This window comes from Homo sapiens, chromosome 10 (genome assembly GCF_000001405.40).
Source record: "Homo sapiens chromosome 10, GRCh38.p14 Primary Assembly".
Classification (NCBI taxonomy): Eukaryota; Metazoa; Chordata; class Mammalia; order Primates; family Hominidae; genus Homo; species Homo sapiens.
Genome location: NC_000010.11, coordinates 104,051,528 through 104,063,859, shown reverse-complemented (window position 1 = coordinate 104,063,859; position 12,332 = coordinate 104,051,528). Strand labels below are relative to the sequence as shown.

The following is a 12,332-nucleotide window of genomic DNA, read 5'->3' as shown; positions in this document are numbered from 1 at the left end:
CCAGATGTCCCTCTCACCAGCCTTCCTCCTTGCCCCTGCAGTCTTCGGAGTTCCAAACAACATGGCGTCCTGCTCACCCACTTTGCACCCTGGACTCAGCACATCCTCCTCAGGTCAGTGTCACCATCTTGAGATGACTTTTCCAGGCTATTTGCATAGAAGTGTTAGGATGCTTCACCCAAGAGCATGAAGGCCTTTCTTCCATGCATACTGCAGCTCAGAAGCAGAGGCACAGGGTTGCACAGAACCTGCCTTCAACCACAGGGAGAACTCAGACCCCAAGGGAAAAGTCTCAGGCGAGGGGACGTGAGCCCACATTGACGTGCGTATTCTAAGGTGGCGCCTTTATTTTCTGGAAGAGTTGGAGGATTGGAAATGAAGGGTCTAACGGAATCATCGTGTAGGACATTTTCAGGGTAAAGGCATTGTTAATTTAGAAGGATTTTATTTCAGATCTTTTAAAGAAAAATAGAATTCATTGAGTAACTACTTTCAGATCTTTCTATAAATATAACACATAGTTTGTTGGAGTAACTATATTGGGGTAAATAATGTTACTGCTTATCTTCCAATGCAAACATAACAACAATTTTAAAGAAATATTTATTTGCTATGTTTCCACATACATCTTAAGAGCCTATATGTAAATATTACCAGCCTACATCTTTTCTTTTTAAAGGAGTCTGCCTTCTCCATGTGATAATGTGACTAATAAACATAATGATGTGGGCCTTGTTTATTTACTTGACTGATATAGAGGCAAGTACAAGTTTTGCATTCAGATTTTCAGCACCTTCCTCCAGTTGACTAGAGGCCCACCAAATCCAGAAGACATTGGCTACATGTTTTATTTCTTCTGCCTTTGCTATTTTGCTTTGCAAAGTCCTGATAAAAACCAGGTCCCAAGGGAAGGTGGGCTGATACCAGATCCTTGATATTGTGCCCTAAATAACAAAGCTGCTGGCCAGGAGGAATAAGCTTCTGCACGTTGTTGAAAACAAACAAACAAGCAATCAAATAAACAAGGAGCCTTCGAAACCATAGTGGAGGTGGGGGAGTTTTATGTGTTTGTGTCAGGAGAAGGAAGGGCTAACGGGAATACTAGGAGTCTGCCAAGTTAGTGCCTCTCAGCACCCGAGGTGTCTGTGTCCATATCCTAAGCTTACAGTTCCCACACTGTGCACCAAGGCACCCCAGGGTGTCACAGGAAACAGGGAACCCCTATGATATTTTAAAATTTTGAGAGATCTGTCAGCAACATCTGTCAGACCCTGTGCAAACTACTGCTTTTAACTTGGATGGACCTAACTACGTAATAAGTAGAACTGTTAGTAATATTTGGCCTGGGGTAGGTAGGTGGGGGTATTAACAAATTTACTACGTTACAAAGAGTGTGGGAACCGAGGAAGTTTGGGAATCTGTTGGCAAAACCATTGATCATGAAAGTGGTTTGGGACTCTGGGGGCCGTCCTAAGCCAGGGGGCATCCCCCGTGCTCCCTGTACTCACCTGACCTTGGTTGCTTTCACAGTGTTTGGCATGCAGAACAATCTGGCCCCCAGCTTGACCACCCTGTCCCATGGCACCACCACCACTTCCACAGGTCAGTAGGCTAGGGTTGGAGCTTAGGCGCTGGAAAGTGACACCTCTTTGCAGCTACAACTCACTGAATTAGGAGACCCAAAATGTCCCTGAAAATCAGTCGACCTTTCCCACCAAAGACACAACACTCAAGATATCAATCTTGATCATTAACTGGCTCAGACATGAGTCAAGCACACAGGGAAGGCTGTCCTGTCAACAGCATCACCTTGTAAGGCATCACTTGTATGTTCCTGTGTCTCTCACAGCCAAACTGGTTAGGTTGGTGGTCTTGCCAGCTCACTGCTGTCCTTGACAGCCCACTGTCACTGCAAATCAATCATCTGGTTGATTTTATGGTGCACCCCCTACAGGTTGCCACCGCTGTGCCAACCTGGGGGTGACTGGGGACATGAAACCTAGGTCAGCCTTTGCCTCCAACTTGCCTGCTACTTAATTGGAAGAGAAAGTCTAACACACATGAGACAACGAGAGGCTCTATAAGACAATGGGAATAAGTGATAGGCCATGCAGAGCAGGTGTTAAGGGCTGTAGGAGTTCAGGAGAGAAGGAGATGCATGGGGGTCTAGGAGGACTTCCTGGAAGTAGCTAGAAGGATGAGGAGGATTATACCTAAGAACGTTCCATCTAAACCCTCATTACTGTCCCCATGGCTGGAGAGAGTTGATTCATCATCTGCTTCTCACTGGAGAGGGTCGGGGGTACCTCTCTGCCAGGGCTGATCAGGCTTCTCCTGAGTCACCTGGAACCACCCTCCCATGCTGACCCAGCTTCCTTTCTTGCAGCATATGGGGTGAAGAAAAACATGCCCCAGAGTCCTGCGGCTGTGAACACTGGCGTTTCCACCTCCGCCGGTGAGTGCTGCTCCCAGCTGCCAGGGTTCAGGCTGGTGCACAGGGAGGATTACTCTGCAGTAATCCTGCCTGTGTATCCTTCCAATACACATGGTATACTGGAAGAGGAAATAGGACCCATGAGTGGTCTTAGGCCTGCAAACGCAACTTGCCCCAAAGGCCTCTTGGATGTTTCCATGAGTGAATAAAGGTGAACATTCCCATGAATGTTCCTATCAGAAGGGGGCAGGAAGCTCCACCCTCCATACCTGCCTAGGGCCAGGCACTTGCACATTAGCCACTGCCCTTGACTGGAAGCCTTTGGCCTTCACCTGTTACATGCAGCTCATGGAGCCCTCAGAAACTGCTGGCACCCTCCCTGCTTTCTACAAAATCTATATCAACTTTGTCCACATATTTCAGCACCATACAGTGAGCTGTTTCCTCCATTGTTCTAATCCTAGTGTGTTGTCTTCCATTCAACAATTCATTTATTGGAAAGCCTTTACTGAGCACCTTCTTTGTATTAGATGGACAGTGTTCTAAGTGCTGACAGTACAGCAGTGAACACGACAGGATAGATTCCTGCCTTCACTAAGCTGATGTCAGTGGTGGAGGCAGACGACAAACACATAAAGTATGCAAGATAATTACAGAAAAGGATACAGATTATAAGGAAAGCAATAAGTAATGTGGTAGAGATAGGAGTGTGTGTATGAGGGTGAAGTGCTTTAGATGGGGTAGTCAGCTAAAGCCTCCTCAAGAAGGCAACTCTTAAGACCTGGAGGATAAAAATGAACCCAAGTTAGTTAAGGAAGGACTTACCTGACTGGGGGACTTTTACCCATTCAATAAAGATCCTATAATCTCCAGGAGGGGAGGCAGCCCCCATAAACCAGCCATCCAGAGCTTCTGACATTGACCCAAACTCTTGGTGGCCAGGCCCAGCCAGGCATAGAGGGTGTCCTTGGTCCCCAAGATGCTTCATAGTAACCACTGTCAGCAAGAACAAGAGACCCTCATACACACCTGCTAATTTACCTCCCTCCTCCTTCTCTTTCTTCTCCTTCCTCTTCTTGTCTTTTCTCCCCTCTCCCTTCTCCTGGCACATGTCCTTCCTTCTTACCCATTTTCTTTCTCCCCAGCCTGCACCACAAGTGTGCAGAGCGATGACCTTTTGCACAAGGACTGCAAGTTCCTGATCCTAGAGAAAGACAACACACCTGCCAAGAAGGAGATGGAGCTGCTCATCATGACCAAGGACAGCGGGAAGGTCTTTACAGCCTCCCCTGCCAGCATCGCTGCAAGTGCGTCAGATCCTGTGTGGCTTGGGTTTCAGAAGAAAGCCAAATAGTGTAGGAGACCAAATGTCCTAGCAAGGTGGTTTGGGACCCTATGAGTCATGAAACCATAGCCATCCCATTCTAATGAAAAGCACCTGTCTGAATAGTATGTTCCAGGGTCTGCCTTGAATGCAGATGAGCTGAGAAAATTCAGGCAAAGAGCTCTCAGAGAGGCATTTGGGCGACAGCAAGTCTAACCGCAAACACAGATCAGGGGAGATGAACCCCAGGAAAGAGGGGCTCTTCTTACCAGTCTAACCTAGACCTTCCCAAGCAGGGTAGTGGGCAAGGGCGGGGGGAACACAGGACAGAGTTGAGAGGTTGAGAAGAGAATATGCCAGGTTATAATGGGTTCTGTACATAGCTTCTTTTTCAGAAGACACCCTAAAAAAAGAAAAGCAAGCTGCCTACAATGCTGACTCAGGCCTAAAAGCCGAAGCTAATGGTAAGAACAAATATGATTGTTGTCCACCTTGACTTCAGCCAGGCCACATTTCATTTCATTGTCTTCGGAGACCTTGCTACTCAAAGTGTGGTCCACGGGCCAGCAGCATCAGCCACACCTGGGAGTGTGTTATAAAAGCAGGATCCCAGCCCTAGCTCAGATCTGCTGAGTCAGAAGCTGCAGTTCAACAAGCTTCCTAGGTGATTTGCATTTGCATTACTGAAGCAAAAGCCTGCCTCTGCCATGTCTACGAAGGCATTTGTTTTCTCATTTTACTTTTTCTCCATAATCTTCAGAACTAATAGAAAAATGCTTTGCAAAGCAGTTGTTAGCTTTATTTTTTTTTCTTCCCAAATATCTGCGTTCTTTGTCTGATAACCACATTTCTTGACGATGCCCTATAGGAATCTCTCCAAATCACTGATTTCAGGGAGGTCAGTAAAGGAAGGAAAATGTTAAGTCATAGAACATTTTCAAATGAATGCCAATCAAATCAGTTATCACTTTAACAAGGTGAGAGATTGGAACCTGACTGTAAGTCTTTAAAGTTAGCAGTTCCTGACATTTTAGGGGTAGGTCTAGGGCTGTGGAGTCAAAAGATCCTTTTCAGAATCTGATGAAAGGTATGAACAAATTGCCGAGTAAATTCTACACATGCCCACAAACACTCAACTTTCTTTTTCTTTTTTTGTTTTTTTTTTTTTGAGACGGAGTCTTGCTCTGTTGCCCAGGCTGGAGTGCAGTGGCATGGTCTCAGCTCACTGCAACTTCTGCCTCCCGGGTTCAAATGATTCTCCTGCCTCAGCCTCCCAAGTAGCTGGGACTACAGTCATGTGCCACCACATCCAGCTAATTTTTTTGTATTTTTAGTACAGACGGGGTTTCACCATGTTGGCCAGGCTGGTCTCGAACTCCTGACCTCGTGATCTGCCCGCCTCGGCCTCCCAAAGTCCTGGGATTACAGGCGTGAGTCACCGTGCCTGGCCTAAACACTCAACTTTCAAATAGCATCACGGACTCAGGAACAATCCTCCTCCAAGCTCATCCTTCTCATTCCCAATTCCTTCCACCCCAGGTCAGGAACTTGTGTTCAGAGTCCCTTAACCAAGAAATCAGAGTCATTTCTCACAACCACACTTATTGTTTGAATGCAAGCGGCACCCATAACTTGGTGTTCCAAAAATGTTTTGAGGTGTTAAGGTTTAAGGTCATAAGAGAATTAAAACATAGTGCTTTCTTCCACCATTAATTGTTTGCCAAGCCATGTCTTCATGGATGTAATTATCGCAAATATCAGATTAGTGAGGACTGAGATGCTGGATGTTCCTGCACGTCGTTGAAAGCAAGTTTATTAAGAAAGTAAAGGAATAAAAAAATGGCTACTCCATAGGCAGAGCAGCTAGCTCCTCCAGTTTAAAAGCTCAGGTCAATCTGTTTGTCCTTTCAGGAGACCTGAAGACTGTGTCCACAAAGGGCAAGACCACCACTGCAGGTGGGTGAGAACCGCGAACCCTGCAGTGACAGGATCCAGTGGGGCTGCTTATGGCTAATGGACCAGATGATGGTCCCTCGCCTGGAAGCAGTGCAGTGCACAGAAGCCACCAGACTCTAAAGAGTTTCCCTAAAGGCTCAGAAGGGAGCAGGGTGGGGGTCAGGGGAGTGGCAGGCTGTGGGTCAGAGGTGGCCGCAGAAGGAGCTTAGCTCAGGGGATGAAGCTAACAGGCCCCCCGCCCCCAGCTGCCCCTAATTAACACTTGTTAGTTAGGTTGTCTCCTAACACAACAGGGTGACTGTGTCTTTACACAGCAGCTCAAGAAGAGACTAAGCCATGCACGCCTCCAGCCCCTTAGCCTTTCCTCATTTCCTTCCACCGCCGTGTGATAGAAGCAGGTCAAGTCCTACCACCCCATTTTAGGGAACTAAAAACACTTTTCATTACAAAAAACATTGTTTTAATTCACTAGGCACCCCTGAAGAGCTGAGTATAATTCTAGGCACTGTAAGGATTAAAGAAAGCACTGTGTGAACTGAGGCATGGAGATGGGAACGCTCTAGGTTTGGGCCCAGTCAGATGCAGACCAATGCTATATTCAAAATAAAGATGTTTAAGCCTCGTGCTGTGCTGCTAACTCCTCTACTATTTTACATTCCTTGTCCTATTTCATTCAACAACCTTCCCAAGAAGGAGGCAATCTTTTAACCCCATGTTATAAAAACGGAAACAAAGGTGAAGTGACCTTCTCAGGTTCACACAGCTGGAGCCAGGATTGCCAGACTTCTGGTCAGCACCAGTCAGGCCCTGTGCTCAGTCCAGGAGCCAGCCCTGTCCTGGGTGGAACAGCACAGGAACTTGAAAGCCCCCAGTCGTAGTCACTCAGGCCAGAAAGTCACCAAAAGTCAGAGAATCTGGAGGGAAAAGGCAGGAGCTGCCTGCATTTGCTTCATTTTCCCTGTCTCTTTCACAGATATCCACAGCTACGGCAGCAGTGGTGGTGGTGGCAGTGGAGGAGGTGGCGGTGTTGGTGGCGCTGGCGGCGGCCCTTGGGGACCAGCGCCAGCCTGGTGCCCCTGCGGCTCCTGCTGCAGCTGGTGGAAGTGGCTGCTGGGCCTGCTGCTCACCTGGCTGCTACTCCTGGGGCTGCTCTTCGGCCTCATTGCTCTGGGTACGTGGCAAAGGCAGCAGGGCAGCCTGTGTGGTAGGAGGCAGGCCAGCCCCACTGCCTGTCAGAAGGGCAGGAATCTGTGAATGGGCCCACGTGTTAGGGGGCGAGGGGACCTGAATGCATTGGTGCAGACCCTTGTTACCGCAGATGAGTAAACTGAGGCCCCAGGAGGTACCTGGCCAAGGACATGCTGCCACTTAGTGGTGGAGCTGAATTTGGATGCAGCGCCTGATGCTCAGCCCCACCCTTGCTACACCTGTAGGCCCTGGTCTAAGCACCTGGCTGCCCTTGGTAACAAGGTCAGGACTTTCTTAGCCTTTTTGACTTTTGCTGTTTCCAAGCAGCCATATCTATTTCTTTTCTTTCTTTTCTTTTTCTTTCTTTTTTTTTTTTGAGACGGCGTCTCGTTCTGTCGCCCAGGCTGGAGTGCAGTGGTGCAATCTCGGCTCACTGCAACCTCCGCCTCCTGAGTTCAAGCGATTCTCCTGCCTCAGCCTCCTGAGTAGCTGGGACTACAGGCGCATGTCACCACACCTGGCTAATTTTTTGTATTTTTAGTAGAGATGGGGTTTCACTGTGTTAGCCAGGATGGTCTCGATTTCCTGACCCCGTGATCTGCCCCCCTTGGCCTCCCAAAGTGCTGGGATTACAGGCTTGAGCCACCGCGCCTGGCCAGCCATATCTATTTCTATCAGCTCTCACACCACCTCACAGGGAGAGTGAGGACAAGCTTTGTCACCCAGCTCAGATGAGAAGACTGACTCCCAGGCCAGGTTTCTTTAAGGCTCTGCTGTGATGCTGAGCAGCTAATCCTGCTGGTGGCCACGGCAGATTATCTCTGCATGAGTATTCTAGCATGAAGAAGCCACCACAGGCCCCAATCCCTTGTGTCAGGCTCTCCACTAGGAGCGAGTGTATGGAAGGCGAAGGACCGGGCCCTCAGTGACGCAGTGTGTGTCTGTTTGTTGCAGCGGAGGAGGTGAGGAAGCTGAAGGCGCGTGTGGATGAGCTGGAGAGGATCAGGAGGAGCATACTGCCCTATGGGGACAGCATGGATAGAATAGAAAAGGACCGCCTCCAGGGCATGGCACCCGCGGCGGGAGCAGACCTGGACAAAATTGGGCTGCACAGTGACAGCCAGGAGGAGCTCTGGATGTTCGTGAGGAAGAAGCTAATGATGGAACAGGAAAATGGTGAGAGCATCGCCGGGCACAGGGCCAGCTCCCCTGAGTCCCTTTCTTCTTTGCATCTATGTGGTATGTGTGCATGTGCTGTGAGCACCATCATCCGGCCCACTCTCGGCCTCTCTCCTCCCCTGATCCTCTCAATAGCGCTGAGAGGTAGGTGGGACCAAGACTGTGGTCCCACTTTACTCCTGGAAAAACTGAGTTCTGGAAAGAATAATTGCTCAAGATCACTGGACTAGCCAAATTTAGAATCTGATCTCTAGTCTTTGCCTCAGTTTCTTCTTCCCATACCATGATCCCCTTATTGTGTGTGTGTGTGTGTGTGTGTGTGTGTGTGTGTGTGACAGGAGATGTGAAGCTGACTCAGGATTTGCTTTTTCTTGCAGGAAATCTCCGAGGAAGCCCTGGCCCTAAAGGTATTGCCATGGATTGAACCTTGTCTCTGATTCATTTCCTGCAGTTGGAAGTGAGTTTTCTGGGTAGATTAGAAGCCTTTTTCTTTGTTCTAAATGGAAGGATGAAGAGCTGAATGATCTTATGGTATCTGTTGGGAGGTATCTGTTGGTTTTAGAGTCAGAATATCTTAGATAAGGCAGCATCTAAGAGAAGCCCAGCAATGAGCCCAAATGACATAGACTCTGGGACTGGGAGGGACTCGCCGCATGTCGCCTCACCTTGAAATACAGTTTACATCTTGTCAAATGGTTTTAAAATACAAGGCAGAGTATGGCCTTTGGGTTCTTGCCCCATCTCACAGTTTTCATATCTTTCTGGTTTCAGGTGACATGGGAAGTCCAGGCCCTAAAGGTAATTATAACATGGGCATTTTTACCTTAAATATTAGCAAGTGTTAATTGTTTCAAACAATCAGCAAGTGTCAGAAAACCCACCTTGCACTCCAAGAAGTAATTTGACAACAGATGGGACAGGTGTGTGAGGAGGAGAGGTTTCCAATCCCAGGGACCTTTGGCTGGACACAGAGCAGTTTTCCTTGGTCCAGCTGACCGGGATTGGCGAGCTTCCCTGTGCACAGGAATCTCCAAAAGAGTTTGGGCCACATTTCCCGAGCCTTTGACTCAGGGGGTATGCATGTGGGCAGGAGTCTTTATCTTAGTCATCCACGGTGATTCTGCAGCCAGAAGAATACTGAGCACCACGTTCAAGATGACAGGATCCCACCTCTCTCCAGCTCCCTCCTCACTCCCTAGGCAACCCCAGGGCAGGAAGTCAGCTCCTCCACTTTGGGGCCCTCGAGTCTCTTCTTTCCCTTCAGATCCTTGCCACCCACACCCTCGCATATACCTGGGTCATTGTCCCAGCCCTCCTTCCCCAAGTCTCCAGCCCGCACACCCCTCCTGACCATGTTAGTGGTGGGGACTGATACTGCCAGAGTACCTGAACCTGCAGTTGTCAGATAAAATACAGGACTCCCAGTTAACTTTGAAGATAAACAACAAATAATTTTTCACTATAACTTGTCCCAAATATTTCATGGGACATACTTATAACTAAAACTATGTGTTGTTTATCTGCAATTCAAATGTAACTGGACATCTGCATTTTTATTTCCTAAGTTTGGCAACCCTACCTGAATCCCACTAGTGACTGCTTTGGGAATTGGGCACAGTCTTCTGGCTGACCACTCTCTCTTTTGCCTTTGTTCCTGCAGGAGATCGAGGGTTCCCTGGGACTCCAGGTATGTACTCTCTGATGACCTCCAGGCCTGCCAGTGTTGCAGCTGCTCAATCCTAGCTGATGGCTTCTGGGAGGAAAACAGGGGCTGAGATATCCTTGTGTGTTCACAGGTATCCCTGGGCCCTTGGGCCACCCAGGTCCACAAGGACCAAAGGGTCAAAAAGGCAGCGTGGGTAAGAAACACATTTTTCTTTATTCATTTATTCCTCATTCTTTCATTCATTTAATAAACATTCATTAAGTGCCTGCTGTATGTGAGGCCTTGTTTTAGGCTCTGGAGAGACACCAGTGAACCAAACAGAGAAACCCTGCTGTTGTGGAGCTGAGATTTGGGTTTGGGAGAAAGACAGTAACTGTGAGAAATAGTGAAGTCTATAGCAGTTTACGGGTGATGCACGACATGGGAAAGGAGAGCCTGGAGGGATTTTGGGAATGAGAGCTGGGGAGAGTAATTTTACACAGGGAAGCCAGGGAAGGCCTCCCTGAGAGGCCACCATTTGAGCAAAGATTCGAAGGGCAAGAAGGAGCCAAGCAGGAGAGATCTAGGGAAAACATTCCAGGCAGAGGGAGCAGCCAAGGCCAAGGCTCAGGCCCCAGGGCAATTTTTAAGGAGCATCAGGAAGGGGAAGACCTCTGAGCTGGAAAGTCCAAAGGGATGGGCCGAGAGGAGGCAGGCTGTGTGGGGCCTCAGAGGCCAGTGTAAGGACTTTGGCTTTGACTCTGGGTGAGTTGAGAAGCCATGTGCAGGTTTGGGGCAGAGGTAGAACATGATCTACTCACATTTTCAAAGGGTCACTCTGGCTTCCAGGTTGAGCCAAGGCTATGGGGTCCAGGAGAGAAGCAAGCAGGGAGGCCAGGGAAGGGCTCCAGGCAAGCGTCTGCCGTGGGAGGCTGCCTGTGGAGCCGTTAGCTGGGGTACGGGATCCTGACTTGGAGGCTGGCCATCCCTGTCTTTAGGAGATCCTGGCATGGAAGGCCCCATGGGCCAGAGAGGGCGAGAAGGCCCCATGGGACCTCGTGGTGAGGCAGGGCCTCCTGGATCTGGAGAGAAAGGGGAAAGAGGTAAGAGGCAATTCCTTCACCGGCAGAGTTAGCTATGCCTGTGCTTCCTTCTCTCTGTCAACACCCGTCCCTCCTTCACTCTGTCTCTGTTTCTCCCCCCTTCCTTCATTTACTGAGCACCCACCCTGAGTCAGGGTCTGTGCTAGGCCCTGCAGAGACGCTGGGCATAGGCTGGGCTACAGGGCCAGGCCTAGGGCTGAGAACCCATCTGACATCCCTGGAATCCACCGGGAAAGTGGTCACAGGAGCAGTGGCCTTCCTGGAGTTGGGTGGTGAGGGTGAGGAGTCAGGCCGAGGTGGGGCTCAGGGGGCAGGGCAGGGCAGAGTCAATTGTAAGGTGGAGTGGGGCACAGACCTTTGAGCCTTTCCTAGCTGGAAGGAGGCCAAGAGGGAGGTGGGGAAGGCCCCAGACATAGGTTCAGTGCTGGAGAGGCTGGGGAAGGTGTTGCAATTCCATCCTTAACTATGAGACTGCTTTTGTCAGGGGAAACCAAGACAGATACCAGAAGTCCTCTTAATGCTAACAGACTGTGAGCAGGAAGCTTTATTTTCAGCTTTACTTTCTCTTTAAAATATTGCTCAACCAGACAATAAAATTTATTGAGTGCCTACTAGGTGTCAAACTCCATAGACTATAAAGTCTCTGGGGGTAGAAGCTAAGGAGTTTTGCTGATAAGTGGCCTCACTGGGGCACCAAATGGATCCAAGACCACTAGCAGGGTGGGAAGCATCCCCTCCAAATGACAGTGCCAGGATAGGGGGCAGCCACACTGGGGCCTCTCCCAAAGTGCTCATCCCTCCATTTCTCCTCAGGGGCTGCTGGTGAACCAGGTCCTCATGGCCCACCTGGTGTCCCAGGTTCTGTGGGTCCCAAAGGTAAGTCCAGTGTGCAGGAAGGAATCAAAGTTTTCCAGAGGAGAAGCCACATTCAGGATGGATCACAGAGAAGAGGCCCTGGGACCCCAGACAGCCCTAACCCCCTGCCCCAGGCCTGTGCAGGGGTGGTGGGTGGGTCCAAAGAGCATCCCCCAGAAAAGCAGTCCCTGGGGAGTCAAGACTAGGGCTGTAAGTTTAGCCCCATAATGGGCTTGGGGCCATGTTTCCATCTCTCTTCAATGGCCCCGTTATGTGATCCCTAAGTGGGTGGATGGATCATTCAGGAAATCAGAAGTTAGACCATTTCCTTGACTGACTGCGGCCCAGATGCACACACCAAAAGTAACATGTCTGGGCAACCCAGGGAGAATGGGCCCCTTCTCAAAACCCAAATGTTCTACTGCCCCAGCCCAAATGTTCTACTCTGACCAGGAAAGAGCAAAGGGTAGTTTGATCCCACCCAGCTGCACCCCCTCCCTAAGGAGGACATGCACTGGGGTCACCCCTGGCCTGCAATACACTCACACAGCCCTCACCTGGAAGACAGCGTCCCTAACCCCCACCTGCCCTGCACCGGGGCCAGATGTCCCCACCTGTATCTGCCCCTCTGCTGATTGCTGTCTTGTC

At 49.5% G+C, this 12,332-nt stretch overlaps 1 protein-coding gene across 1 annotated transcript in view, besides 2 other annotated features; it reads left to right on the top strand.

The window, feature by feature from the left end:
• Positions 1 to 12,332, top strand: part of COL17A1 (collagen type XVII alpha 1 chain) — a 54,595-nt gene that overhangs the window by 22,021 nt on the left and 20,242 nt on the right. The window contains exons 11-24 of the mRNA NM_000494.4: positions 42 to 113; positions 1,531 to 1,602; positions 2,387 to 2,455; positions 3,580 to 3,741; positions 4,142 to 4,222; positions 5,670 to 5,714; positions 6,688 to 6,885; positions 7,857 to 8,078; positions 8,459 to 8,488; positions 8,853 to 8,879; positions 9,742 to 9,768; positions 9,878 to 9,940; positions 10,725 to 10,829; positions 11,643 to 11,705. Coding sequence (NP_000485.3) covers positions 42 to 113; positions 1,531 to 1,602; positions 2,387 to 2,455; positions 3,580 to 3,741; positions 4,142 to 4,222; positions 5,670 to 5,714; positions 6,688 to 6,885; positions 7,857 to 8,078; positions 8,459 to 8,488; positions 8,853 to 8,879; positions 9,742 to 9,768; positions 9,878 to 9,940; positions 10,725 to 10,829; positions 11,643 to 11,705 — 1,236 coding nt within the window. The remainder of the gene's footprint in view (positions 1 to 41; positions 114 to 1,530; positions 1,603 to 2,386; positions 2,456 to 3,579; positions 3,742 to 4,141; positions 4,223 to 5,669; positions 5,715 to 6,687; positions 6,886 to 7,856; positions 8,079 to 8,458; positions 8,489 to 8,852; positions 8,880 to 9,741; positions 9,769 to 9,877; positions 9,941 to 10,724; positions 10,830 to 11,642; positions 11,706 to 12,332) is intronic.
• Positions 8,680 to 9,879: an enhancer, noted in NCBI's record as "CDK7 strongly-dependent group 2 enhancer chr10:105813739-105814938 (GRCh37/hg19 assembly coordinates)". NCBI's record gives its function as "activates an origin of replication core promoter dependent on BRD2, BRD4, P300/CBP, MED14 and CDK7 cofactors, with strong dependence on CDK7, by STARR-seq in HCT116 cells {active_cell/tissue: HCT116}" and the evidence as "EXISTENCE:reporter gene assay evidence [ECO:0000049][PMID:35650434]".
• Positions 10,192 to 10,778: an enhancer, noted in NCBI's record as "H3K27ac-H3K4me1 hESC enhancer chr10:105812840-105813426 (GRCh37/hg19 assembly coordinates)". NCBI's record gives its function as "activates a minimal SCP1, AML or CMV promoter by ChIP-STARR-seq in primed H9 embryonic stem cells {active_cell/tissue: H9 hESC(primed)}" and the evidence as "EXISTENCE:reporter gene assay evidence [ECO:0000049][PMID:30033119]".